This window comes from Homo sapiens, chromosome 2, assembly GCF_000001405.40.
Source record: "Homo sapiens chromosome 2, GRCh38.p14 Primary Assembly".
Classification (NCBI taxonomy): Eukaryota; Metazoa; Chordata; class Mammalia; order Primates; family Hominidae; genus Homo; species Homo sapiens.
The window spans coordinates 196804417-196832211 of NC_000002.12; the positions used below are offsets into that span (position 1 = coordinate 196804417).

Here is a 27795-nt window from a genome sequence, read left to right on the forward strand (position 1 = left end):
TGTTCTTGCACAAATATTTTATTCTTCATATACAATATCAATAATCCACCCAAAAAAGCCACATTAAAATATTTTGAAATGCACAGACTAATGTTAGGACAATGTTGCATTTTAGTGCAACATTCCTTTTGCAGGAATCACAGAGAAGATGATGCAGCTATCTATAAAGATACAGGAAAAGCAGCTATTCCAAATGTGAGTATGGGAATCAGAATAACTCAGCATGAGCTAGAGTAAGGAGAGCAGGGGCTGGTTGGAAAGAGAGGAAATCACCTGTTTCTACTTTTCCTTCCTGAGGAGGTTGTGTATGAGAGCAAGGGCTCGGGCATTGCTAGAATATTTGATGTGGCACAATGTCCACCTCTGAATACTCTGGCAAAGAGCATCTTTGGAGGCGTTGACAACTTCTAGAATCCCATGTTTGTTGTTGTTGTTTGCTTCCATTTTAACTTAATTGTGGCTGTTTATCACTTGCCCTCATTTCTTATGAAACTAAAACTGTGAAGTATTTTGGTAGTGTATGCTGAACATGGGAATGCATCTTCTTTTTAGGAAAGGAAGACAAATTTTAAACCCAACCCTCTATCACATATAATGAATTTTACTATACTAAAAGTGAGCATGTCCCTTTAAAAAAATATATTGGTCGATAAAAGATAATAAACATAAAAGACAAGTTTTAAAAACAAGCTTAAAGAAACATCTAATTTAGATTATAATCTTTTTTCAGTTTGTGATGTTTTTGTAACTCCTACAAATACATGCGGTGCTCTACATCAATATTTATGGTTTCATAGGAAAAAAACTCCATAAATATGCATAGAAATCATAGTTCCAGCGATTTATATGTAAATATGGAAATGTGGAATAAAATCATTACAAACTGAAAAATAAAAGTGAGGGGGAAAGAAACTCCATGAAAGTTTAGCTATGACAATGGTTGAATTTTTCTAATGAGAAGCTTCATCTGTAGTTTTAAAATAGCCAGACACCTGAAAGAACAAGACAATGTTATAATTAAATAGAAATTGAAGACTATACAATCAACACAAAGACCCCCAAATCAACATATTTTACTGAAAACTCTTTTTGTCTTCATTTTCTCACCAGAGATGTAAGGAACATAGAGTTCATAATTATGAAATATACTCCAAATCAGAAGCTTTGTTTTTTTTTTCATAAAAGTAAATAATTCCTGTTCTTTTATGATACCACCAACTGGGTGCTTTATCAGTTTCCTGCCCTTTTATATTACCTCATTCCATGCTCACATGAAAGTATTTATTTGATATTTTCTATGATACTTTCTGTAAGGTAGAAACTAGTATCTGCAATTTACAGATGAAGAAGCCGAGGCTTACAAGCAATTTATCTGCCTTTTACTAAGAGAGATAGTATGGTATTAATAACTATTCTCTGATACCCTAAGGCCTAAGTGTAAATAATAGTCAAGAGAAAACTTCATTAACATCTTACTGTTTCTTCTATTTTATTTTCTCATTTTAGAACAATATCCAAGGGCATATTCCACATGGTAAGTTATACGTTCTTTTTAGAGTAGCAATCATTATTTTTTAATCATCACATTTAAAAGAACTAATAATGAAAACCCTTTCACAAACACCATGAAGCACAAGACAGGCATGCTTCCTCAGAATTTCAAAATTACACTTGTGGGAGAATGGGAAAAGATTTTAATTATGATTCCATTCCCTTTATTATTCAGCTAAACAAAAAGCTAATGGATTGAAATCATAATGTATTTGCTTGGAATGCACCATACTTGTTCTTATTTTTTTGAGATGGAGTCTCGCTCTGTCACCCAGGCTGGAGTGCAGTGGCGTGCTCTCAGCTCACTGCAAGCTCCACCTCCCAGGTTCACGCCATTCTCCTGCCTCAGCCTCCCAAGTAGCTGGGACTACAGGCACTGGCCACCACGCCCATCTGATTTTTTGTATTTTTAGTAGAGATGGGGTTTCACCGTGTTAGCCAGGACGGTCTCGATTTCCTGATCTCTTGATCCTCCCGCCTCAGCCTCCCAAAGTGCTGGGATTACAGGTGTGAGCCACTGCGCCCGGCCAATCATGCTTGTTCTTTTTAAATGGTAGGTGTTGGTTTGATAGGAATGCTAAATAATAAGAGTAATGAAATTCGCTGGGTGTGGTGGCTCATGCCTGTAATCCCAGCACTTTGGGAGGCTGAGGCAGGTGGATCACGAGGTCAGGAGTTCGAGACCAGCCTGGCCAATATGGTGAAACCCTGTCTCTACTAAAAAAAAAAAATACAAAAATTATCTGAGTGTGGTGGCAGGCACCTGTAATCCCAGCTACTCAGGAGGCTGAGGCAGAAGAATCCTTTGAACCCAGGAGGTGGAGGGTGCAGTGAGCCAAGATCACACCATTGCACTCCAGCCTGGGCGACACAGTGAGACTCTACCTCAACAACAACAAAAAAAGTAATGAAATTCAAATCTTAATAAATTTTTAATTTTTTTCTATGAGAAAAATGCCATCCTTACTAATAGTCAACCTTTTCTTCCTATAGGTGAGGAAGTTCAAGCTCAAATATATGCATAATACTTTATCCCCCAAAGAACCATACTTTCAACTTTTAATTCCCATCTAATCCAACAGCTCAATTTGACATATTTCTTTATGTAGATTTTCCACATAACTTAGCTATATCAGTTGGTCTGGAAAAAGATACAGGTAAGAGTGTGGCCATGTTATTAATTTAATAATCCTATTAAGAGATAATTCTATTATTTTAATATGTCTCTGCCTGGATAACTATGCTTAAAAAATAAAAACTGTCATTTCTTTTTAAAACAAGACTGTAAAATACCTGAACCAAATCCAAATACTTAATAGTAATGAGTATAAGCAGAACTGAGCATTTATTTCTATGAGGAAATAAAATTATGTTTTCAAATAAATACTTTCAAAATATCTACTTTATGGCTGACTTGTATGTTTGGACAGATCCAGAATAAAGGGCCAACTTTTACCTGAGCTCAGAAGAAACTTTCAGCCTTTGAGATAATTGTGAAAGGAGTTTTTCTGCTCTTCATAATCTGCAGATGCAGAAGCAGTAAGTTCTGACTGGAAAGAGAGAGGTCTAGGATTTTCATTCGTGGGGAAAGGATTTGGAAATGTTCCAAGATCAAGACCTCTGCCCTTAAAATATGCCTGAAGCCTTCTGAAAAACTAAAGAGAGAAAGAAAATGGTCAATGCCAGATATAAATGAAACACCAAAAATAAAGGTGTTTTTCTTCCCTCTATTTTTCCCCTGAATTGACTTTAAGGCTAATCTAAGAGGCAGGAAATACAAAATCTAGAAATACAAGTACATGCTTCAGCTACTTCTCCTCCCCTCCTCTGTACCTTCTTTCTGACATTTCAACCCTAACCAAAATAATTCACCATTCTTACTGAAAATTGAAGGAAGACTATGGAGCGGCACCACAGTGGAAAGATTCATTGTGAACTATCTCTGAGTACTAAGGTCAAAGGTGAAAATGAACTCCATAATAAGCAGCTCAGTATCTCCTCTTCCTTAATATGAGATCTCTGTTGTTGCCTTCTGCAATAGTTTCTTTTCAGATTTCCATTAGGAAATGAACACAGAAGATGTGCGAAGTGCTACTTGCTTTGATGCAGGACAGGCAAATCCCAAAACTGGAGCTTAGCACAGGAGGGTTCTTGGCTTTGCCCAGAAAAGAATTTAAGGGCAGGCTGGTTGTGGTAACAATCTTTTATTGAAAGGTACTGCTCCTGCCAGAACAAGGCTAATTCATAGGTAGTGCACCTAGGGCTGACAACATATGGGCTCTTATCAACTGTGTTTTTATCCACTTTTGAATATATGCAAATTAAGGGATGGGTTAATGCAAACAGAAGGGAGTTATTTAGAGCTTTCTAGGAAAGAGGTGGTAACTTTTGGGTCATTGCCATGGAAAGGAGTGGTAGCTTCCAGGTAATTGCCATGACATTTGTAAACTGTCATGGCACTGAGGGGAGGATCATATCCTAAGAGCAATGAGAGCAGGTCGGGACCACTTTTGTTGCCATCTGCTGGTTTCACCCAGTGTTTTCACTTTATCCTGTCTGGACCAGATCCTGTTTTCGTCAGCAGCTGTGACCAGAAAACAAATCCTGCTGGTCTCTTATCTCAGTTTATTTTAATCCTATGTTGTTATATTTCCCATCATTCACTTTAGAAAAACCATATTTCAAAATAGTCATGTCAACATGTTTATTGTATTTGGCATTTTTTTTAAAGAGAATGTTTACTGATCTTTTGAATTCTATTTTATAGATAACTATATGTTGAAAATATGTCCAGTAAATTGATACCCATGCAGGGTCAACTTTCAATTTTTGCAGCTGAGCTTGGCAATCTCTAGTTATATGATAACTTGTTTTATCATCAGTTCAATCTAAGCTATGCACGAGCAATTCCCTGTTACACTCTTTATTTTTTATATGTATTAGAAATCAAGGCTACAAAGTCAATGTGTATATAAGATCAGTTACAAATGAATTGTACTATGTGTGTATAAGATTGTTTCTAAATATAAATTTGTTTCTCTTTACAGAAACAAATGTAAACTGGCCAGAGAAACAATAGGTTGCCAACCACTAGGGTAGTAAAACTCTGGTCCAATCCTGTTGGAGAATTTTCTCAACCCTTGGTAGCCCCCTTTCCACTACGTTCTGGAAAACAGAATGCTGTGTGCGTAAATCCAAAGAGGCATTAGTTCTATCCTGAAACCCAGGCCCCAAGTGTGTTCTTACCAGATCTCTGTTTCTGGGGTTGTTGAGTGGCTTCCATTTGTCCTCATTTCTTACTGTGGCTCCATTCACATGCCCAAGCAGCACCAGGGCAACACATAGTAGCAGGAGAGGTGCTCTGGTCATGGTGGAGTGAAGCTGAGTGAAAGAGGGGATGCGGGAGCTGTCAATGATCATTGAGAGAGATAGTCAGGGAAGAGAGAGAGAAAGAGGAAACATCTGTAAAGGCAGACAAGGAAGGAGAAATAGCATACTGGTTTATCTAAGTTTTACAGCCATCTTTTTTCCAGATTGACTTCTAAATGAGGACCCCAAAATGCAACTGATTAGCTTAAAGTAGCCCATGATAATGAGAATGTTATACAGTGATAAGCAAAACAATTATGGAACATAACATAGAAAGTCTGAATATGCCTTTTTCATCTTTGGAAAAAAAGTACTTTGTTGTCTCCAAAGAAACTGCAACTCTTAAAATAACAAAAAACAAAACCTTAAATTACTTTTAAGCCTTAAGACAGCAGTCTTTAAAAAAAAGAAAAGAAAAAGAAATTACTTCAGATACCGAGCTGAGAAATACACCTTATACACACATCTGAGACAGACAGACACATACCACAACAGTGTGAGTAGAGATTGTCTTCCACTCCAAGGTGTGAAAGAGAAACTGAGACACATTGTAGAAAAGGCTAATAAAGCTTACCAGGAGTTTGGTTTTGGTTGGTCCTCCTAGGTTATCCTGCCTATAATTGGCAAGGCAATTCATGGGTACTTATAACCAATGGATTGGGTGCCAGTGGAAGTCACTGACTTGAGCAGGGGAGTTAAAAAATAATGATTCCTTTTTCATCCAGAACACAAAGATTCTTGAGAGTCAGATCTTCAAGCTTCTTCAGGGATAAGCTTATTTGCCTTAGAAATGCGGCAGCCACTCCTTGAACCACGAACATTTTATGTGGATTTTATAAAACACACAAAGCACTTCCACACAGCAAAGTGATTTTCTCCTTTTTTACTTTTAAGGGAAGGGATACACCTGGAAATATGATGGATTATAGCTGGAAATATGATGATGATTATCCCACCTATTAGAACGTTCTTTTGGAGATATGACTTTTTCAAGTTAACAGCATTTTTTGAACAGAAAATTCTTTTGTGAGAGACAAAATTACTCTTTTTGACCTATACCTTGTACTTTTTTCTGAGAACCTCAAGAAGCTTTACAAGTTTTAAATAGTGGCATCATTTATCATAATATCTCTTCAAAATAGAGCAAGAAGATAACACATGTTTCATGGAAAAAAGATAAATTACTATACCTACAACATTCCCTTGCTGAATAAATGCCATCTGTAGAAAATGGTAGGCCGAGAAATTGGACTTGAGTTGTGACGTTGCTTTGGTTCCAATGATTTAGAACAAAATTTAGGACAAGATATTTATTCAGAAGGCTGGTGATCTCGACTGGAAATTAGCAAACCTGGCTATAGTCTCAGTCTTGCCATCTTGACCCTGGGCAAGTTACTATGACCTCTGCCCTTCAGTTGTTCATTTCCTCTGTTTATTCATTCAGCAGACTTTTACAAAGTGCCTACTATGTGCCAGGTACTGCAACAGGATTTGAGGATGAAATGGTAAGAATAATAAATACAGTCCTTGCCCTCATTAAAATAGAGTAGTGGGCAAGACAAACATTAATCAAATCGTACAACCAAATGTGTACATATAAGTGAACAATCATTTCTATGAAATAGCGAGTGCTATGAAAGTATAGAAAAAGGGAATTTGATTCAGTCTGAGAGCCAAGGAAGTCTTCTGTGAAGAAATGACCTTACATCCAGTCAACTGAATAGGAGTTACCCAGGCAACCTGAGGAAGACAGAGGGAGAAGTGTGTCTAAAAAGGTGAACAGCTGTGCTAGGAATGGGGCACTTTAAAGGTACTGAAATTATGCCAGGCGTAGAGGGAGCAGGTGGGATGCCTGACGCAAGATGGGGCCGGAGAGGTAGTCAGATTATGATCTTTAGGCTACAAGTAATGCTAACTGATTAAAGGGTTTTAGGCATCAAAGAAGCTTGATCATACTTGCATTTTTAAAAGGTTATTCTGGTTGCAGTGGGGAGGAGAGACTGAGCTAGAAAAGAGGGCTGCGCAAAGCCAGTTAGGTGGTTACACAGTAGTCCAGGCAGGAAAAGATGTTAACTTGGATTAGGGCGATGTTAGCACAGATGCACAGATTATGGGTAGATCTGAGAGAGATTTATAAGGGATTGTTAATGTACTGGGTACTACGGGGAGGGGGGCTAAGGAGATGGGAGTTTCAAAACCAATTGCTAGGTCCGTGGGTTATGCAGGTGAGTGGGTTACAGTGCCATTCACCAAGATATCAAACCGAGGCATGGAGGAGTGAAGATCATCATTCTGTTTGGAATGTGTTGAGTTAGAGGAGGCTTTGAGATTTCCTCGTGGGGTTGGAGAGTATGCAATAGGATACACAGATCTGGAGCTCAAAGGAGAAATCTGGGAAGGAAATGTAAATTTGGGAGTTGTTGGCATAGAAGTGAATGAGATTACCTCAGTAAAGTTTAGAATATGAGGAAAAAAGGGGGCCAAAAACTTGAGCTTTGAGAAATTTTAACATGTAACAGCCACATACAGGAATCTACAAAAGAGACCCTGAAGGTGAGGGAAAATCAGCAAAGTATGGAAGCAACAGAAGAAAGTGTTTCAAGAAGGGACACATTGGATAAAATTAGGTCTATAGAGCATTTGAACTGTTTTAGTAGAAAGTCAGATTAGAAGGGACTGGATGGAGAGGAAAATGAGTGAGTATAGCAAGCTCTTGGAAACGCAGCTATGAAAAGAAAGAAGGTAGTTACTAGAGTTAAAAGTAGAGTCAAGGAAAAGTGTTGTAGTTGTTAAAATATGAGAGACTTGTTTGTTTAAATGTCAACGGTTAGGTGAGTAAATGAATACCCTGGAATTGTATTACATCACTCTCTTTAAAACCCCAGGACTTTAAAGTATATAATAATATTGAAATATTAAATTTTTACTGAGGTTCAACATATGCAAATCAATATATGTAATCCATCACATAAACAGAACCAATGACAAAAACCACAACATGATTTGTCTCAATAGATGCAGAAAAGGCCTTCGGCAAAATTCAACAACCTTCATGCTAAAAACTTTCAATAAACCAGGTATTGATGGAACGTATCTCAAAATAATAAGAGCTATTTATCACAAACCCGCAGTCAATAACATATTGAATGGGCAAAAACTGGAAGCATTCCCTTTAAAAACTGGCACAAGACAAGGATGCCCTCTTTCACCACTCCTATTCAACATAGTATTGGAAGTTCTGGCCAGGACAATCAGGCAAGAGAAAGAAATAAAGTGTATTCAATTAGGAAAAGAGGAAGTCAAATTGTCTATGTTTGCAGATGACATGATTGTATATTTAGAAAACCCCATTGTCTCAGCCCAAAATCTCCTTAAGCTGATAAGCAACTTCAGCAAAGTCTCAGGATACAAAAATCAATGTGCAAAAATCACAAGCATTCTTATACACCAGTAACAGACAAACAGCCAAATCATGAGTGAACTCCCATTCACAATTGCTACAAAGAGAATAAAATATATTGGAATACAACTTATAAGGGATATGAAGGATCTCTTCAAGGAGAACTACCAACCACTGCTCAAGGAAATAAGAGAGGACACAAACAAATGGAAAAACATTCCATGCTCATGGATAGGAAGAATCAATATAGTGAAAATGGCCATACTGCCCAAAGTAATTTATAGATTCAATGCTATTCCCATCAAGCTACCATTGACTTTCTTCACAGAACTGGAAACAACTACTGTAAATTTCATATGGAACCAAAAAAGAGCCCACATAGCCAAAAAGAAGAAAAAAAAGAACAAAGCTGAAGGCACCATGCTACCTAACTTCAAACTGTCCTACAAGGCTACAGTAACCAAAACAGCATGGTACTGGTACCAAAACAAATATATAGACCAATGGAACAGAACAGAGCCCTCAGAAATAACACCACACATCTACAACCATCTGATCTTTGACCAACTCAGCAAAAACAAGCAATGGGGAAAGGATCCCCTATTTAATAAACGGTGCTGGGAAAACTGGCTAGCCATATGTAGAAAGCTGAAACTGGATCCTTTCCTTACAGCTTATATGAATATTAACTCAAGATGGATAAAAGACTTAAACGTAAGACCTAAAACTATAAAAACCCTAGAAGAAAACCTAGGCAATACCATTCAGGACATAGGCATGGGCAAAGACTTCAGGACTAAAACACCAAAAGCAATGGCAACAAAAGCCAAAATTGGCAAATGGGATCTAATTACACTAAAGAGCTTCTGCACAGCAAAAGAAACTGTCAACACAGTGAACAGGCAACCTACAGAATGGTAGAAAATTTTTGCAATCTATCTATCTGACAAAGGGCTAATATCCAGAATCTACAAAGAACTTAAACAAATTCACAAGAAAAAAACAACCCCATCAAAAAGTGGCGAAGGATATGAACAGACACTTCTCAGAAGAAGACGTTTATGCAGCCTACAAACACGAAAAAAAGCTCATCATCACTGGTCACTAGAGAAATGCAAATCAAAACCACAATGAGATACCATCTCACACCGGTTAGAATGGCAATCATTAAAAAGTCAGGAAACAACATATGCTGGAGAGGATGTGGAGAAATAGGAGCGCTTTTACACTGTTGGTGAGAGTGTATATTAGTTCAACCATTGTGGCAGACAGTGTGGAAATTCCTCAAGGATCTAGAACTAGAAATACCATTTGACCCAGCAATCCCATTACTGGGTATACACCCAAAGGATTACAAATCATGCTACTATAAAGACACATGCACACATATGTCTATTGCAGCACTATTCACAATAGCAAAGACTTGGAACCAACCCAAATGTCCATCAATGATAGATTGGATAAAGAAAACATGGCACATATACACCATGGAATACTATGCAGCCATAAAAAAGGATGAGTTCATGTCCTTTGCAGGGACATGGATGAAACTGGAAACCATCATTCTCAGCAAACTAACACAGGAACAGAAAACCAAACACTGCATGTTCTCACTCAATAGTGGGAGTTGAACAATGAGAACACATGGACACAGGGAGGGGAACATCACACACTGGGGCCTATAGGGGGTTGAGAGGCTGGGGGAGAGATAGCACTAGGAGAAATACCTAATGTAGATGACGAGTTGATGAGTGCAACAAACCAACATGGCATGCGTATACCTGTATAACAAACCTGCATGTTCTGCACATGTACCCCAGAACTTACAGTATAATAAAAAACAAATCAAAAAAAAAATTTTTACTGAGATTATAGTAAAAAGTCACAACACTATAAACTCCTTAGACAATGCCCACCCTCACATTCCCAGTGCCCAATGTTGAGCCCAATATGCAAGCACTTTTAAAACAGGAAATACTGGCTGAATAAATTACAACAGATTTTCATAGCCATTTATCTATGAATAATTGATAGTTCCATTTGTATAAAAACATAGTTCATCTGTTCTTTTAAGAGCTTCTTAAATTTTTAAGAAATATTTATAGTTTCTCAAAGGAACCGATGGACCAAAGGTAACATACATACTATAGTCTTGTTCCTTAACACTGGAGTTTCCCTGATGATTAATAGAACATAGAACTATATGTTTAAGTTAAAAAAATTAATTCCTTTGTTTCTTTTTTTAAGAGACAGGGCCGTACTCTGCCACCCAGGCTGGAGTGCAGTGGTACAATCACAGCTCACTGCAGCCTCCACCTCCTAGGCTCAAGTGATCCTTCCACCCTAGCCTCCCGAGTAGCTAGGACTACAGGCACACATCAACATGGCTGGCTCTCTTTTTTTTTTCTTTTTTTGTAGAACCATGTTTCACTATGTTGCCCAGGCTGGTCTCAAACTCCTGGTCTCAAGTCATTCTCCTGCCTGAGCCTCCCAAAGTTCTGGGATTTCAGGCATGAGCCACCATGCCTGGCCAGTTTCTTGATTTTAAATTTCTTTTTTAAAGAGCAGAAGGTACTACTGATAAAGTTGATTATGACATTTCCTTCAAAATGTATCAACACAGCACTAAGTAGATATTTTATAATTATTTGGTTAATAGGTTCAATCGAGAGAAAGAGAAAAAAACCCACAATATTTTAGGTTCTCAAACCATTAGTTTTTGGTCCAAATTATCTAATTTGGTCTCTTCATTAAGTAGTGCATTTGTAACAGTAGCAGTTGGGACAAAAGGGTGTGGTAGCAGGCAAAAAGGTGCTTCTGCACCCAGAGGCATCTGAATGAAATTCTTTGCTAGCATTTCTCAAGTGGAATTTGAAAAGAAAATAGAGTACTCAGCACAGAACCACACACATGAAAGAAATCCAACAAATATGTGTTGATTGAATTACAAATTGAAGTATAATATAAATGCAAACATAGGCTAATTGTGGGGAAATCATGCTAATTAAACAAGGTAGGGAGGAATTTTTAAACCATCTATTGGACTATATAACCTTTTCAAACCCTTCTTGTCTCTTTTAAGGAAAAAAACCCAGAGCTGATACAGCTCGTTAGCTGTATCATGAATGAGGACATAAAATTTAATCTCTTTTTTCTTCCCCTTGGCCTAAGTGAATAGGAAAATTATTATTTATAGAGTGCCTCCTCAGTGATGATGAGGACTTCAAAAATAAGGGAAAGGTTGCTCATATGATTAATAGAGCAGGCCGGGCAGCTTTCTGCTCATAGCAATAACTGCTTTTTTTGTGTGTGACAGCAACAGATTTCAGTTTGAAGGTGGAATAAAGAGAAGGAGGAAGAAATAAACCTCTTGTGATAAACAGAACAGAAGCAAAGAGCTGTGGGTCAAGGGAGCCATAGTGACTATGACAGACAGGAGAGTAGGGGCTCACCCCTCATATTCTGGGGGCACAAAAATCTCCCAGATTCTATGAGACCCAGAGGAGGTGAGGGTAGGTGCAGAAACCATTGAAGTTGAATTTCCCTCCTCCCCCATTGGTATAGGGGCTTAGAGTCAAACGACGTTGGTTAAAAACACACATGACATTCTCAAAAACCTCCACAGTAGGGTGAACCATTTGTCCTTTTCAGCAGCATCTATATTAAGTGTAAGTATAAAGTTGACCCTCAGAATTCTGTAGTTATTCACTATGGAGAAATCTGTCGTATTCTTTGCTATCATCAGTTTTGTTTTCTAAAAAATGGCAAAGTAAAGATGGCAGTAATAGAAACTGGGGACTATTAGAAGGAAGGAGAGAGGGAGGAGGGCAAGGGTTGAAAAACTAACTGCCGGGTACTGTGCTTAGTACCTGAGTGATGGGATCATTCATATCCCAAACCTCTGCATCACGCAATATACCCAGGTAACAAACCAGCATGTGTACCCCCCGAATCTAAAATAAAAGTTGGAAAAAAATGTTAGAGGGGTATATTAAAAAGGATAAAAGATCTTCCTCTGTTTAAAATATGTTACAACCGTTTTTATGTAATAGGGCTAGAGTGTAAGCCAATTCTAAAAGCCTGAGTATTGGGGGAACCCACCCCCATATTTCAATGTGGGTTCTTTCTATTTTGCATAAGTGTTGGCCGGCTGAGAAATAAAGAGAAAGAGTACCAAGAGAGGAATTTTACAGCTGGGCTGCTGGGGGTGACATCACATATCAGTAGGACCATGATGCCCACCTGAGCCTTAAAGCCAGCAAGTTTTATTAAGGATTTCAAAAGGGGAGGGGGTGCAAGAACAGGGAGTAGGTCGCAAAGATTACATGCTTCAAAGGGTAAAAAGGAGAACAAAGATCACATGCTTCTGAGGAAATAGGACAAGGGCAAAATCAGAAACTCCTGCTAAGGGTCCAGCAAAGATCACAAAGCAAAGGGCAAAAGCAGAATTACTGACAAGGGTCTATGTTCAGCAGTGCAAGTGCAAGTATTGTCTTTTTTTTTTTTTTTTTTTTTTGAGACAGAGTCTTGTTCTTTCGCCCAGGCTGGAGTGCAGTGGCGAGATCTTGGCTCACTTCAAGCTCCGCCTCCTGGGTTCATGCCATTCTCCTGCCTCAGCCTCCCAAGTAGCTGGGACCACAGGCGCCTGCCACCATTCCTGGCTAATTTTTTTGTATTTTTAGTAGAGACAGGGTTTCACCGTGTTAGCCAGGATGGTCTCGATCTCCTGACCTTGTGATCTGCCCACCTTGGCCTCCCAAAGTGCTGGGATTACAGGCTTGTGCCACCGCACCTGGCCGCACGTATTGTCTTGATAAACATCTTAAACAACAGAAAACAGGGTTTGAGAGCAGAGAACCGGTCTGACCTCAAATTTACCAGGGTGGGGTTTTTCCCCACACTAGTAAGCCTGAGAGTACTGCAGGAGACCAGGGGGTATTTCAGTCCTTATCTCAACTGCATAAGACAGACACTCCCAGAGCGGCCATTTATAGACCTCCCCCCAGGAATGCATTCCTTTCCCAGAGTATTAATCCTTGCTAGGAAAAGAATTTAGTGATATCTTCCCTACTTGCACGTCCATTTATAGGCTCTCTGCAAGAAGGAAAATATGGCTCGTTTTGCCCAACCCACAGGCAGTCAGACCTTATGGTTGTCTTCCCTTGTTCCCTAAAATCGCTGTTATTCTGTTCTTTTTCAAGGTGCATTGATTTCATATTCTTCAAACACTCATGTTTTACAGTCAATTTGTACAGTTAACACAATTATCGTAGTGGTCCTGAGGTGACGTACATCCTCAGCTTACGAAGATAACAGGATTAAGAGATTAAAGTAAGACAGGTGTAAGAAATTATGAAAGTATTATTTGGGAACTAGTAAATGTCCATGAAATCTTCACAATTTATGTTCCTCTGCTGCGGCTCCAGCCAGTCCCTCCATTCGGGGTCCCTGACTTCCTGCGACACCTGAGACCACAGAGCAAGGAGGCCCCGTGCCAACTAGGTTGGCCATGCTTCCTCCAGAGTGTGAGGCAATTCTGGAAGCCTGAACCCATAGAGAAAGGAGGCCCCAGGCCAAGCAAGGTTGCCATGCTTCCTGGAGAGCACTGGCTCTCAAGTCCAGGCTGACCTCACAGCTGCTGCTTCCATCAGGTGTTCATGATCAATTTCTGGGACTTGGGCAGCAGCCTCCCTGTCTCCTGCCCCTGGTCTGTCTTCCTCACAGCCACCAGCCTTTCCAAAACACAAATGCCACAATTTGGGCTAGTAAGAGAGAGCCAGCCAATGCATCCCTTTAAATCCTGCCCTAAGTTCAAGCCATTTCTCCTACAGCTAAGATGGAGGAGTAGAGTCAACAGAGGATAAAAATCATGATAATCATGCTTGAGCAAAAGCCAGCTGGGAGAAACACAGTGAAAAACTAGACATCCGGATTCACACACTGACTGAGACATAAACTGAACTGAGAACCAGGTTCCCAACCCCTTCTCTCATCTCAGGCCCTACTGATATCTCCAAATTCATCAGAGGAGTAAAATATTTTTCCTAAAATATAGAAGGCAGAATCATTGCTTACAGTTTTGCAAACAGGTCTTTGGCAGGCAGGCTGCTTTTGTAGCAGAGAGCCTGAGGGCAGACAAGGTCTCACAGCTGAGGTAAAGCTCACATGCATCACATCTCCTTCTCATGGTATCTGGATGCCCATAAAATAGAGTCTAAACTCTTGATTGTGATGTAAAGGCTCTCAATATGATCCAGTCCTACCATTCCATCCACTTGACCTCCAGTGACCACCATTGCACTTATGCCTGAGTGCCATTGAAATTGCTGTTGCTTCTGTCTGGAATACCTTCTCCAACCCTTGTATGCCCTCATAATTTCTCTCTGTTTGCTTCTTCAAAGCTCAGATCAAATATCACTTCTTTTGAGAAAAAGATACCACTGCGTCATTTCAACCGTTCTTGCCAGGTGAAATTAATGTAATTGACTGAATGATTGTGTCCCCCTGACCCCAAATTCATATCTTGAAAACCTAACCCTAAATGTGATGCTATCAGGAGGTGGAGCCTCTCGGAGGTGATTGGTTCATCAGAATAGAGCCCTAATGAATGGGATTGGTGCCCTTCTAAAAGAGACCTCAAAGAACTCTCCTGCCCTTTTTCTGCCACGTAAGGATACAGGGAGAAGATGACAGTCTGCAATCCAGAGGATGGCTTCGCCAGAACCCAATCTGTGCTGGCACCCTGATCTTAGATTTCCAGTCTCCAGAACTGTGAGAAATGAATGTCTGTTGTTCACAAGCCACCCAGTCTATGGTACTTTGTTACAGCAGCCCAAACTAAGACAATCAGGATGACTGCATTTGTTTCCACTTGGCTCATGGTTCACAAGGTGCTCTCTTGAAGGAGGCACCATGTCTTTTTTATCATTGATTCTTCAGAGCTTGGTCTTGTCTTCAGAGGTTGGTATAATGCCTGGCACAGTGTAGTTATATCACAAATGTTTATGGAATTAAAAATTCTGTAGGTAAAATTTGAACTTAGATTCTTACGATATTTCAGCCTTGTTACATTTCTATTTTGTATCATTCACCAGAGATTTACATAATGTCATATTTTAATAAGGAGGGGAGAGATAATTGTAGTTGACCAGTATTTGTCAATTTTACTTGAATAGTCAATAGACCAGTAAAGTGTAAATTAATATTTGATCTATCTCTTGCACACAAACCAATAGAGACTGGGGAAACTGTGGCGTATTCATGACCACACACACTTTTCTATTTGAATTGTTCTGGATTTGAGGGGGTGGGGCAGAGCTGTTTTGTCCAAGTCCTGAGATAACTCAGATGGGGAAGCCCAGTCAATAAGAAATAATTCATATTCAATATGGTAGTCCTCAAATCACAACATAGGCCTGCTAAAGGAGTTAAAGGACATTAGAACCATCCAGAATAATTATTATTAGTACAGCTTTCTCCCCTCCATTCAGAAGCAAAGCAGTTCTTATTTATTTATTTATTTGTTTTTCCCCTCCAGGGATATGGAAACTTCGGGCCCTATTTGGTGCATCCTGCCCTGAAGCTATTTAAGAGCCTAAAGGCCCATACGTCATAGGAGATATCTCCCATTAGTCATCCATGAAGAGCACCTTGGGATTTCTCTCCTCTCCCTTTGTTCCTTTTAACTAATTATTTAGATTTCTGGCTTACTATCAAACTTTAAGGATGGCTTGCCCTTCTGATGTAGGATAATAAGCATGGTATTTATTGAATACATACTATGTGTCAGGGCCTCTGCTTTGTCACTACTCATTGTTAATTTTCACAACCCAATGTATAGACCATACTCTTCTCAATTTATACATTGGAAGTGGAGGTTATAAGAGAGATTGAGTTTTCAAGACTGAGTTCCTAGCATGTTACTTAGTATAAATCTAGATGTGTTTTCTTAGGAGTTTAGGGTTAAGACATACTTATGAATAAGAATTCTGTGAAAGGATTCTGAGATGATCCTGGGTTGCAGCAAAGCTGGCAGTGCAGATTGAAACCTTAAATTCTATCTGAGAATTTGGGCTTCCTAAGATCTATATGGCCCAAAGTAGTATGAGACCTTAGAAGATATGGTAGGGTGAAAATGCCCACCCCAAAGACATCAAGCCCTAATGCTTGTAAATGTTACCTTATTTGGAAGAAAGGTCTTTGTATATGTGATTAAGTTAAGGCTCTTGAGATGAGACTATCCTGATTTATCAGGGTATGCCCTCAAAGCAATCAATTTGATTGCTTGTCTTTAAGAGAGGCAGGGGGAGATTTCACAGGCACACAGAGGGGAAGGCAATGTGAGCACAGAGCAGAGAGAGATTTGACAATGCTGGCCTTGAGGGCTGGTATGATGTGGCCACAAGCCAAGGAATGCCAGCAGCCAACAGAAGCTGGAAGAGGAAGGGAACAAGTCCTTCCATAGGGTGTCCAGAGGTGGCATGGCCCTACCCATGCCTGGATTTTGGCTCAGAGGTACTGAATTCAGACTTTCTGGCCTTCAAAACTGTGAGAGAATATATTTCTGTTGTTTTAAGCCATCCAGTTTTTGGTAATTTGTTACAGCAGTCAAAGGAAAAGACTACAGGGGATGTTGAGACATCAGGCCAATCACGGAGGAAGACTCATGACTCACCACAACTGCTTTAGGTTCTACTAAACACACTAAGCTGCAGTAGACTTAGAACCTGGATTCAAATTTTTATTCCCTTTTGAGGAAGGCTGAGCTTCTTCTGTCATCCAGATCACAACACAAAATGGATTTGGATTGAAATATCTATTATGAACCTGGGATTTTACATAAGTCAAACTATAATTGAATATCTTTTTGATACAAAAGGGATGAGAAAAGAGGCCACATCAGAATATTAAACTAGATAAGACCCTTTCCATGAGTCACATAATTTTGTATTGAACCACATTTTAGCCTATTAATAAAGTTATATAAGTATTTGAAAGAAATACCATTCTTAAAATATAACTTAAATTTCCAGGTACATATTTTGTATGATAAAAGGAGTAGTTTTAGAGAAGAGAAAAAAATAAGGACAATTCAGATGGGTAATTCTTTAGATATTTTGGGACATAATTGGGGAAATGATTTTCTTTTAGTGCTATTAATCAATTGTGAGCTCTGAAATAGAACCAGTGAGCTTTTTTTTTTTTTTTTTTTTTTTTTTTTTTTTGAGACAGAGTCTTGGCACGATCTTGTCTCACTGCAACCTCCGCTCCTGGATCCAAGCGATTCTCCTGCCTCAGCTTCCCGAGTGGCTGGGACTACAGGCATGTGCCACCATGCCCAGCTAATTTTTGTATTTTTAGTAGAGATGGGGTTTCACCATGTTGGCCAGGATGGTCTCGATCTCCTGACCTCAAAATCTGCCCGCCTTGGCCTCCCAAAGTGCTGGGATTACAGGCATGAGCCACTGCGCCCGGCCACAACCAGTGAGCTTTTATCCTAAGGGGAAAAAAATTAACAAAGAACAAAAACAAAAATATTACCCCACCTCCAAAATGATAGTTCATTCCCAGCATGCTGAGAGCACTGTAGGTACATAAAATGTTATCCAATTATTTTAAACAAAATTGAATAAATAAGCAAACGTTTATACTCCCCCTTCAAAAGTGCATTCTGTAAGTCTGGCTCTGGAAAAATACATGAGAAATCTCAGAACCTGCTTCTTTACGCCAGAACTCTGTTCTTTAAAGACCAAGATTACATTCTCAATTAGAAAACTGCAATTTGGTTCCACCACATCCTGACTAAAACTGTATAGTTTTCTCTATTCTTTCATTTTCCCCTTCCCCATTCCTTTATTGTACATAAAGTAACTGGTGTATGTGCACAAGCATATTGCATTTTTTTTTCAACTAAACAGCCAATGGTATGTTTTGATTGACATCAAGTGGAGACGGGATGGGGAAAAATACTGATTCTGTGAAAATACCCCCTTTCTCCATTAGCGGCATGCTCATTCAGCTCTTATCTTTATATTCCAGTAAGTTATTTTGCTCTGTTTTAACAACAACAAAAATCCTTGCATACCTTTTTCAGTTGGAGAATTTTAATGTTTTTCATTTATCATTGTAAAACCAAGGACAGTTTTATAACTTTTTTGTATGTAGCTGTTATATGTAGGGCAATCTGTCTTTAAGTAGGGATAAATTACCCTAAAACAAAAAAGAATCTTAGATAGTTTTCCCTTCAAGTCAAGTGTCTTGTTGTTTAAATAAACTTCTTGTTAAAAAAAAAAAAAAAGACTAACGGGGATTATAATATGCAGGATAGAAGGGAAGTGAGTGAGCAAAGAGGGGAGACCATTTATGAAGCTGCTATAAAATTTGGAATAATAGTAATGATGGTCTAAACTAGGGTGGGAGCTAGAAAGGGTGGCCGTAAAGAGCTAGACTCTTTAAGGCTTAACAACTACGTAGATGTAGTAGGCAAGTAAGAAGTTGCCAAAATGAATGTTAAATAGACTTTAAACTTGTGTAATTGGGAGGATTTAATAGAAATTTGGAAACTAAAACGAGCTGCTGATTAGGGAGGGAGAGAAATTACTAGGGGCTGGGCATAGTGGCTCATGTCTGTAATCCTAGCACTTTGGGAGGCTGAGGCAGGTGGATGACTTGAGCTCAGGAGTTCAAGACCAGCTTGGGCAACATGGCCAAATCCTGCCTCTGCAAAAAAATAGAAAAATTAGCCAGGTGTGGGGGTGCATGCCCATAGTTCCAGTTACTTGGGGGGGCTGAGGCAGGAGGATCACTTGAACCTGGGAGGTAGAGAGGCTGCAGTGAGCTGAGATCACGCCACTGCACTCCAGCCTGTATGACAAAGTGAGACCCTGTCTCAAACAAAACAAAACAAAACAAAACAAGAAAACCAAACCAAAGAAAGAAATTATTATGTTAAATTTCAACAGTAATTTGATACTTTGTTTGTCTAGTTTGGTGAAGACTAGAGTTTAGGGGGCTGGAAAGAAAGCACCTATCATTCTTGAGAACCTACTATGTGTCAGGTACATTATCTCATTTAATCCTCATCCAAATTTTGTAAGATGGATATTACTAGCTACAATTTATGAATGAAGACACAGACTCAGAGAGGCTAAATGTACTGCCATTGACTCAGAGATACTTAGATATGGAATTCAGGAAGCAAATCTGTCTGACTTGGTGAATCATCCACCAAGAATATAACACTGAAGTCACAGAGTTGCATGAAATATCTAAATGGTAACAAGGAAGGTTGTGGACATACCATTAGAAACAATTTTTTTTCAAGTTAAGAGTAATAATTAGTATGGTCAGAAAAGATTTTGAGAGTAGGAAGTGAACTAATATAATTACATATTTCAGGTCTTCATTTAAGAACACTATTTCTTAGACAGGCAATCTGGCTTGAATTCTACTACAGGCAAATTACTTAATTTCTCTGAGCCTACATCCTTTCTTATGGTATGGGGATAATAATCCTCTTTGTAAGGGTTTTTTTTTTCTTTTTTTGAGAATGAAATGAGAAGCTGAATGTGAATGTGTCTGGCACAGATTTTGTTGTGACAGGTACTCAATCCATCTGCTGAAAGGACAAAGTATGCATGAAAAGGAAGTGTACAAACCCCAAAATACAGTCTGGAAGATTTTATGAAAAGAACTGCTTACCTCTTTTAGTTTTCTTCTGATTTTTTTTCTTCAAAGTTGAATTATAGCATATATTTCTGATTAAGGTTTTCAGTTAGTTGTATTTGGTACTTAAATGTCTTACTGCACTATACAGTCTCACTGGAACAATAAACTTTCTAAATTTAAAACTGTAAGGTCCAGCAACAAGATGAAGAAAGAATACAATGGAGATTCATAATACTCATTCTCCATACCCTTTGCTGTCGTGAAGTAATAATAGACAGGTTCTGATCTGGAAACTTCATTTTTGCTTTCAGGATAATACAAGTATACACAGATATTAGAAACCTCACTTTGTATCACTATACATAGATATAAAGGCAACCTCACTTCTGCACAGCAAAAGAAACAATCAACAAAGTGAAGAGACAACCTACAGAATGGGAGAATGTATTTTCAAACCATAGACCTGATAAGGAGTTATATCCAAAATATACAAGGAATCCAAGCAACTCAATAGCAAGAAAATAACCTGATTAAAACATGGGTAAAGGGGCTGAGCATGGTGGCTCATGTCTGTAATCCCAGCACTTTGGGAGGCTGAGGAGGGCGGATCACCTGAGGTCAGGAGTTCAAGACTAGCCTGGCTAACACAGTGAAACCACATCTCTACTAAAAATACAAAAATTAGCCAGGCATGGCAGCATGTGCCTGTAGTCCCAGCTACTCAGGAGGCTGAGGCAAAAGAAGTGCTCGAACCCAGGATGGGGAGGTTGTAGTGAGCCACTGCACTCCAGCCTGGGCAACAGAGTGAGACTCTGTCTCAAAAAAAAAAAAAAAAAAAAAGGTAAAGGACTTCAATGGATATTTCTCAAAAAAAGACATACACATGGCCAACAGGTATATGAAAAAATTATCAACATCACTAATAATCAGGAAAATGCAAATCAAAACCACAATGAGATAACACCTCACATGTTAGAATGACTATAGTTAATAATACTATATTGCAAACTTGAAATTTGCTAAGAAAGTAGATCTTAAATATTCTCAACACACACAAGGTTACTGGATATTACCTTGCATATGCTAATTAGCTTGATTGTGGTAATCATCTCATGGTGTATACATATATCAAAACATCATGTTGTACAGCTTAAAACTACATTTTTTACTTGTCAATTAGTATCTCAGTAAAGCTATTGGAGGGGGAGACAATCTCAAAGGGTTACAAGATACATCCTAAACTAAGTTTCTCCAGAGGAGGGTGTGTACATTCTAAGTAGTGTGCAAGACAGCACATCGGGATGTAGGAGGAAGACATAATTCACTTTCATGTTTTTAATCTAACAAATGAAGTTACCAACAATTTATAAATGGATTGACACTAATGCTCTCACACATTCAGCCTTTATCACAGATGGCTGCACACAGTCCATAGGAGATACCCGAAGAGAACAGGGAGAATTCTACAGCATACAGGAAGACAGGGCCCCTAATTTGTACATGGGCTTGTTCACTTTAAGAATAATGTGATGCAGTATATGATTCATGTATTATATTATTAAATATTTATTATGTTATTTAGTTCTAACCAGTGTAACTACCACAAATGAATAAGCAGCTTAAAAACACTCCTCCCAAGAAACCATAGGTTGAATATAATACCAGTAATGGAAGCACAAACCAACAAAAGAAAATAATAAGCACTGACACTTCTACTCCTTTGCCAGCTTCATTAGGAATTGAAAATTATAATTTAATCAGATCTGGTAATGTCACTCCTCCCCATTAAAAATTATCAAGATTATTTGAAAAATCAATGACATCCACTATTGCCCTAAATATATTTTTGTGTCTTGAGATATCAGTTGTTGATCATGGCACTATTATAATTAGCAAAATACTTAAAAATATATTGTCTTCATTACAACCTTCTAAATTTTTTAATTTACATATTAGTATTGTAGTAGTATGTTTATGGGGGAACATTTAAACTTCTTTAACAATAAGAGTTTGCAATCAAAAAAGTCTGAGATGATTTTCCAAAACACATTTCCCTTTATGGTATTCTATAGATTTGTAATTTATGAATGTAACAAAAGGTTTTTACATTAATATCACAGAAATAGAAATGAGAATGATAGTTGCCAGGCAATCAGGAGAGAGGGAAATGAGGAGTTCTTGTTTAATGGATATAGTTGCAGTTTTCAGAGAAAAAGAAAAAGAGTTATTCAGATGGGTGGTGGTGGTGGCTGCACAACACTGAATTTAATACCACTGAACTATATACTTTAAAATGGTTAAGATGATAAACTGTGTTATGTGTATTTTATCACAATACAACAATTGAGGCCAGGCGCAGTGGCTCACACCTGTAACCCCAGCACTTTGGGAGACCGAGGTGGGCAGATCACGAGGTCAGGAGATCGAGACCATCCTGGCTAACATGGTGAAGCCCCATCTCTAATAAAAATACAAAAAATTAGCTGGCGTGGTGGCGGGCACCTGTAGTCCCAGCTACTCAGGAGGCTAAGGCAGGGGAATCGCTTGAACCCGGTAGACGGAGGTTGCAGTGAGCAGAGATCGCACCACTGCACTCTAGCCTTGACGACAGAGGGAGGACTCTGTCTCAAAAACAAAACAAAACAAAACAAAACAAAACAAAGCAATTGAGCCTGGGCAACAAAGGAGGACCCTTTCTCTACAAAAAATTTTAGAAGTCCAGCTACTTGGGAGGCTGATGTAGGAGGATCACTTGAGCCCAGGAGGCCAAGGCTGTAGTGAGCCATGATCGTGCCACTGTACCCCAGCCTGGGTGACAGAGGGAGATTCTGTCTCAAAAAAAAAAAAAAAAAAAAAGGACAAATCAGAACAAAAAAACCCCGACAACATTGGGGGAAAAAACTTGTTGGAACAAAGAATTTAAAATACAGTAAATGTTACACATTCCTAACTAAAATGCAACTATATGACAAACTTTTTCTAAAAAGGGTAATCTACTTCCTTTCTTAACATAAATTCTTTTTTTTCTCCAGTAGGTCAAAATCTTTTCCAGAAAATAAATTTCCTCCTCTTCCCTCCACCCCAATCCTGTACACCACCTTCTTCAGGCAGCAATCTCTGTACTGCCTACCATGTACAATGCTGTATTTCCTGCAAGCCAGGAAACGAAGAGAAAGGCTGAATCATAAAGTTTCTTCTTCAAACACCTTCTCACTGAACTTATGTAGTTGCAGAGTGAAGAGGTCTTTAATATTTCAGTCAAATCTTCTACTCTAATCCCTAGATCATTCTAGCTGGATTTATTTTCCTCCAAACTTTCTAAAGTTCTTTCTTAATCAGAATCGTGCAAAATATTAAATGTAAAAAGCATGGTGATTGTCTTTTGTGTTGAGCATGTGTTAATATGAACATACCTCACAGAACTATTCCATACTGAAGGATGATTTACAAATATGAATACTCAAATGGGCATGTAGCTCTGCAAAACCTGAAGCTTTCATTTACACAATATACTGTGACTTAGGCACAACTAGAAAGTCCATCTAACTTAATTCTTTCTCCAAACATAGTCAAAAGAGAATTTCTAGAAACATTTTTCAAAGGTCAATTTGACCTTATATAATTTTGTTTGAGTTAGTCATTACTCTTGACTGATACCCAATATGAAATTACATCTATTAAGCACAGTAAAATGATTCAGCTCATTTGATAAGGCAAGCTGGTCCACTCTTTCTTACTTTCAGGCTATATCCAAATTCTGACTGTTCAAAACAAGCAGAGCAAATCCATTTCTAGACGAATCAAAATCTCTCTCTCTCTCTCTCTCTCACACACACACACACACACACACACACACACACACACACACACACACAAAGCAACCTAGCAACCTAGGGGTGGGAGACTTCTTTAAAAGCTGTTTAAAATTCATCAAGGGACTTTTCTCTCACTGAAACATTTTATGTTTAATTCATCAGCTCCTTGAGTTAAAACTATGGAATATTAAGTATAGCAATTATGAAAAAAGACTTTAGTTCCATGTCACGTGTAGCATGCGGACTTCTAAAATGGTCCCCAAGGTTTTCACCCTCTGGTGTATACCTTGTATAATCCCCTCCTCTTGACTGTGGATGAAATTCTGTGAATATGATTGTTTACCTTACATAATACAAATGATTTTGCAGATATAATTAAGGTTGACTTTGAGTTAATCAACTCAAAGGGAAATTATGTCAGTGGACCTAAGATATTCACTTGAGCCCTCTAAATCTGGGTCTAAAGGTCAGTGACAGAGGAAGTCAAAGAGATTCAAATGTGAAACTCTCTTGCTGGTTTTGAAGGAGCAAACTGCCATGATGTCAAAAGGCTATGTGGTAGGGCATGGCACCAGAGTTCAAGAGTCCCCGGTTGACAGCCAGAAAACAGGGACCTCAGCCCTAGGACCACATAAAAGTGAATTCTGACAACAAACGGAATGAGCCTCAGATGGGACAGCAACCTGGTCAAATTCATTGCTCATTGTGAGACTCTGAGCAGAGAACAAACACACTAGGGCTATGCCTAGAATTCTGACCTACGGAGCAAATAAATGGGTGTTGTTCTAAGCAGTTAAAATTGTAGTCTTTTGTTATGCAGCAATTAACATACATATGTTAACATATATATGTATATATACATACACACACGCACATTTTTTTTCACACAATCTTTTTTCACTTCCTTCTTCATCTTCACCCCCTTTTCCAGAAAAAATGAAAAAGAGAAAAACTAGTGAGGAAGGCCCACGAGGTTTCCATGCTGTATATTCAGTGGATTCCAAATTGATGTGGTCTCATTCAAAGTAATCCCCTAGGTATCCAAAGAAATATTAAAGTTTCTAGTTAAGTATTTTCATCCTTAAAAATGTACTTCTTTGGGTATATTTAATAACATACACAATGCTTTGGGAGCCGAGGCAGGTGGATCACCTGAGGTCAGGAGTTTGAGACCAGTCTGGACAACATGGTGAAACCCCATCTCTACTAAAAATACAAAAAATAACCGGGCATGGTGGCAGACGCCTGTAATCCCAGCTACTCGGGAGGCTGAGGCAGGAGAATCACTTGAACCCCAGGGGCAAAGGTTGCAGTGAGCTAACATCCTGCCACTTCATTCCAGCCTGGGCGAAAGAGCCAGACTCTGTCTCAAAAACAAAAAAAAACAAAAAAACAGGGGCCGGGTGCAGTGGCTCACACCTGTAATCCCAGCACTTTGGGGTGCCGAGGCGGGCGGATCACGAGGTCTGGAGATAAAGACCATCCTGGCTAACACAGTGAAACCCCGTCTCTACTAAAAATACAAAAAATTAGACGGGCGTGGTGGCGGGCGCCTGTAGTCCCAGCTACTCGGGAGGCTGAGGCAGGAGAATGGTTTGAACCCGGGAAGCGGAGCTTTCAGTGAGCCGAGATCACGCCACTGCACTCCAGCCTGGGCAACAGAGCGAGACTCCATCTCAAAACAAAACAAACAAAACAAAAACGACAACAACAACAACAAAAAGCCAAAACCATACACAACATTAGGACAGGCAGATAATTCGTAAACGTTCATATATTTAGGGATGCTGGTTAAAAGTTTAGAAGGTACTCTTCCCTCAAAATATATCCTCCCCCATTTTACTCCTCCCATATGTTCTATAATAAAATCGGAACCTGTACTAAAACTCTCAAATTATTGTTTCTTTTGGCACTTTGTAATGCTCAGGACAGCATTTCTAGTTGTTTCTAGGAGGCCTAGCAAGTTAACTCTATTGACTAAGGGAATGTTCACCAAACTTGATTGAGAATTACTTTTGGGGCACCTGTTAAAAAAATTCCAGGCCCCTCCCCTAAAGATCAAATTTCTGGAGTGACCTGAAAATCTGTTTACAAACAGTTTAAATCATTCTCATTCCTACTAAGTTGAGAAACTAGGCGCTCAGTGTGAGAAACATGCTCAGCCGTCCAAACCCAAAGAATGGACTTAGAGGCATGAAGAACAGCTCTCCTAATCATTCCCCGCTTCTCCTGTGAACAGGATATTCATGACAGACATCATTTCAGCCCAGGTATAAAAGCTGGGTTCCAGGAATTGGTCTGCTAAATGGCTGGGATCTTGTAGGAGTGGTTTCATTTGCTTCTTGAAATTCCTAACTTCAGTTCTTGTAAGAGGAGCATTTACAAAGCCAATTTTTCCTTGTCCCATGGGAACTTGCGTAAGCGTGAACATGCTAGATGCCTGCTGTGTGGAAGGGATAGGTAAGTTTTCGATCTCTCTCTTACACTGTTTTAATTCTTTTCTTTAATTTGGATAAGGATTTAAAGGAGCAGTTGGTTTGGCTTCCCCATGGTCTCCGGGTCTTTCTTCCTCTAACCCTCCTGCTGCCCCTTGATCTTCCTGTCCCCTATCTTGAGAGGCTTATGGAGGGGTGAGCATGATAGGGGGTCCCAGGGCTTTTCACTAGGCTTTCTTCTTTGAGGGGGAACAAGGGGGCTAATTCCTTAATCCAGCAGAGAGTGTAACCTATCTCTCTAATTCACATAGAGAATTAAAGCTTGGCACACCCAATCCTCATCTGAGCCAAACTTAGGCCAAAAGACCAAAGGCTTACAAATCAGGTCTTTGGGCCAGATAAAACAGCAATACTCTAAATGTTTTGCTTTTCCTTGTCTCTGGTTCAAGGGTTGTTCCTCCAAACCTGCAACATTTTCCCCAAAGGACTATCTGGGGGAATGTCAGAGGGAGTCTCTTTGGCTCCCTCTTCCCTTTGTCCCCTAGGCCTAGAATTTCTGTCTCCCATTTTCGGCCAGCCTCTGTGTCTGAGTTTTTCCCTGTTTACTCAGCCCCCCTTACTGGAGGTTTCTTGCACACCCCAGAACCTTCGAAAAGGCCCAACCACCAAGGCAGTACTCTACTCATAGTCCAATTTTCCTACCTTGGCTCATGCATGAGGTGGGCTGGTTCCCACGGTGCCTGCTTTTCTCCCTGGGTCACCTCTGCTGCCTCCTGAATAACAGTCTCAGATTTCTCTATGGCTTCTGTGGGGAGCCAGGACGCCTGGACAGAGTGGGCCACCTAAATCAGGTGGGATGTATCTCCTCTCTTGGCCGGAATACCACTCCATGCAGGCATAGAGACCCCGGATGGGTCCCCAGGTTGTGAGAGACATGCTCACCTGTCCAAACCCAAAGAATGGACTTAGAGGGACAAAGAACAGCGAAAGTGAGACTTTTAATAATGGTCTTGCAAGATTGGGCGTCCGGTGGGCAGGCACACCTGGGGCAGTCACAAGAGATAATTTATCTCCTAGCACACAAGTCCCTTCCCCAGTTCCTCACTGGCGGAGTACTATGGGGTTACAATCTTCCCAGACATCGCCTGAGTTTCATTATCCCCCTTATAAGGTTATAACCCGTCCCCTTCCCCACTTAACTTTTGATTTCCCAATAACAAAACTTTCTTCCCTTTTATGGGCTGACCCCTCCTCTACATTCTGTTCACTTATCGTGGCCTTTTGGTGCATGAGCCATGTGGTTTGTTACATTTGCAGGCTGGCTGCCAGTACTTAGATTTATCATGCCTTGAAAATGGACCATTTAAAATTTTTTCTCACGTCAGAAATATATCAAGTTAGCATAAGAAATGTGAAAAGCGCCAGGCGCAGTGGCTCATGCCTGTAATCCCAGCACTCTGGGAGGCCGAGGCAGGCGGATCACAAGGTCAGGAGATCGAGACCATCCTGGCTAACACAGTGAAACCCCGTCTCTACTAAAAAAAAAAAATACAAAAAA

At 39.5% G+C, this 27795-nt stretch overlaps 1 protein-coding gene across 3 annotated transcripts; it reads right to left on the minus strand.

The window, feature by feature from the left end:
* C2orf66 (chromosome 2 open reading frame 66) lies at positions 1-27723 on the minus strand. 3 transcript variants are annotated; one of them, XM_047444338.1, is made up of 4 exons: positions 26940-27723; positions 4798-4932; positions 3008-3206; positions 1-992 (listed from the first exon to the last, which is right to left on the minus strand). In XM_047444338.1, exons 2-3 carry the CDS (start codon positions 4918-4920, stop codon positions 3027-3029), a joined length of 303 nt encoding a protein of 100 aa, XP_047300294.1. In that variant the 5' UTR covers positions 4921-4932; positions 26940-27723; the 3' UTR covers positions 1-992; positions 3008-3026. The 3 variants fall into 3 exon arrangements, with proteins under 3 accessions (XP_047300294.1, XP_047300293.1, NP_998773.2); XM_047444337.1 differs by having other exon boundaries at positions 14396-27723; NM_213608.3 differs by lacking the exon at positions 26940-27723 and having other exon boundaries at positions 4798-4939.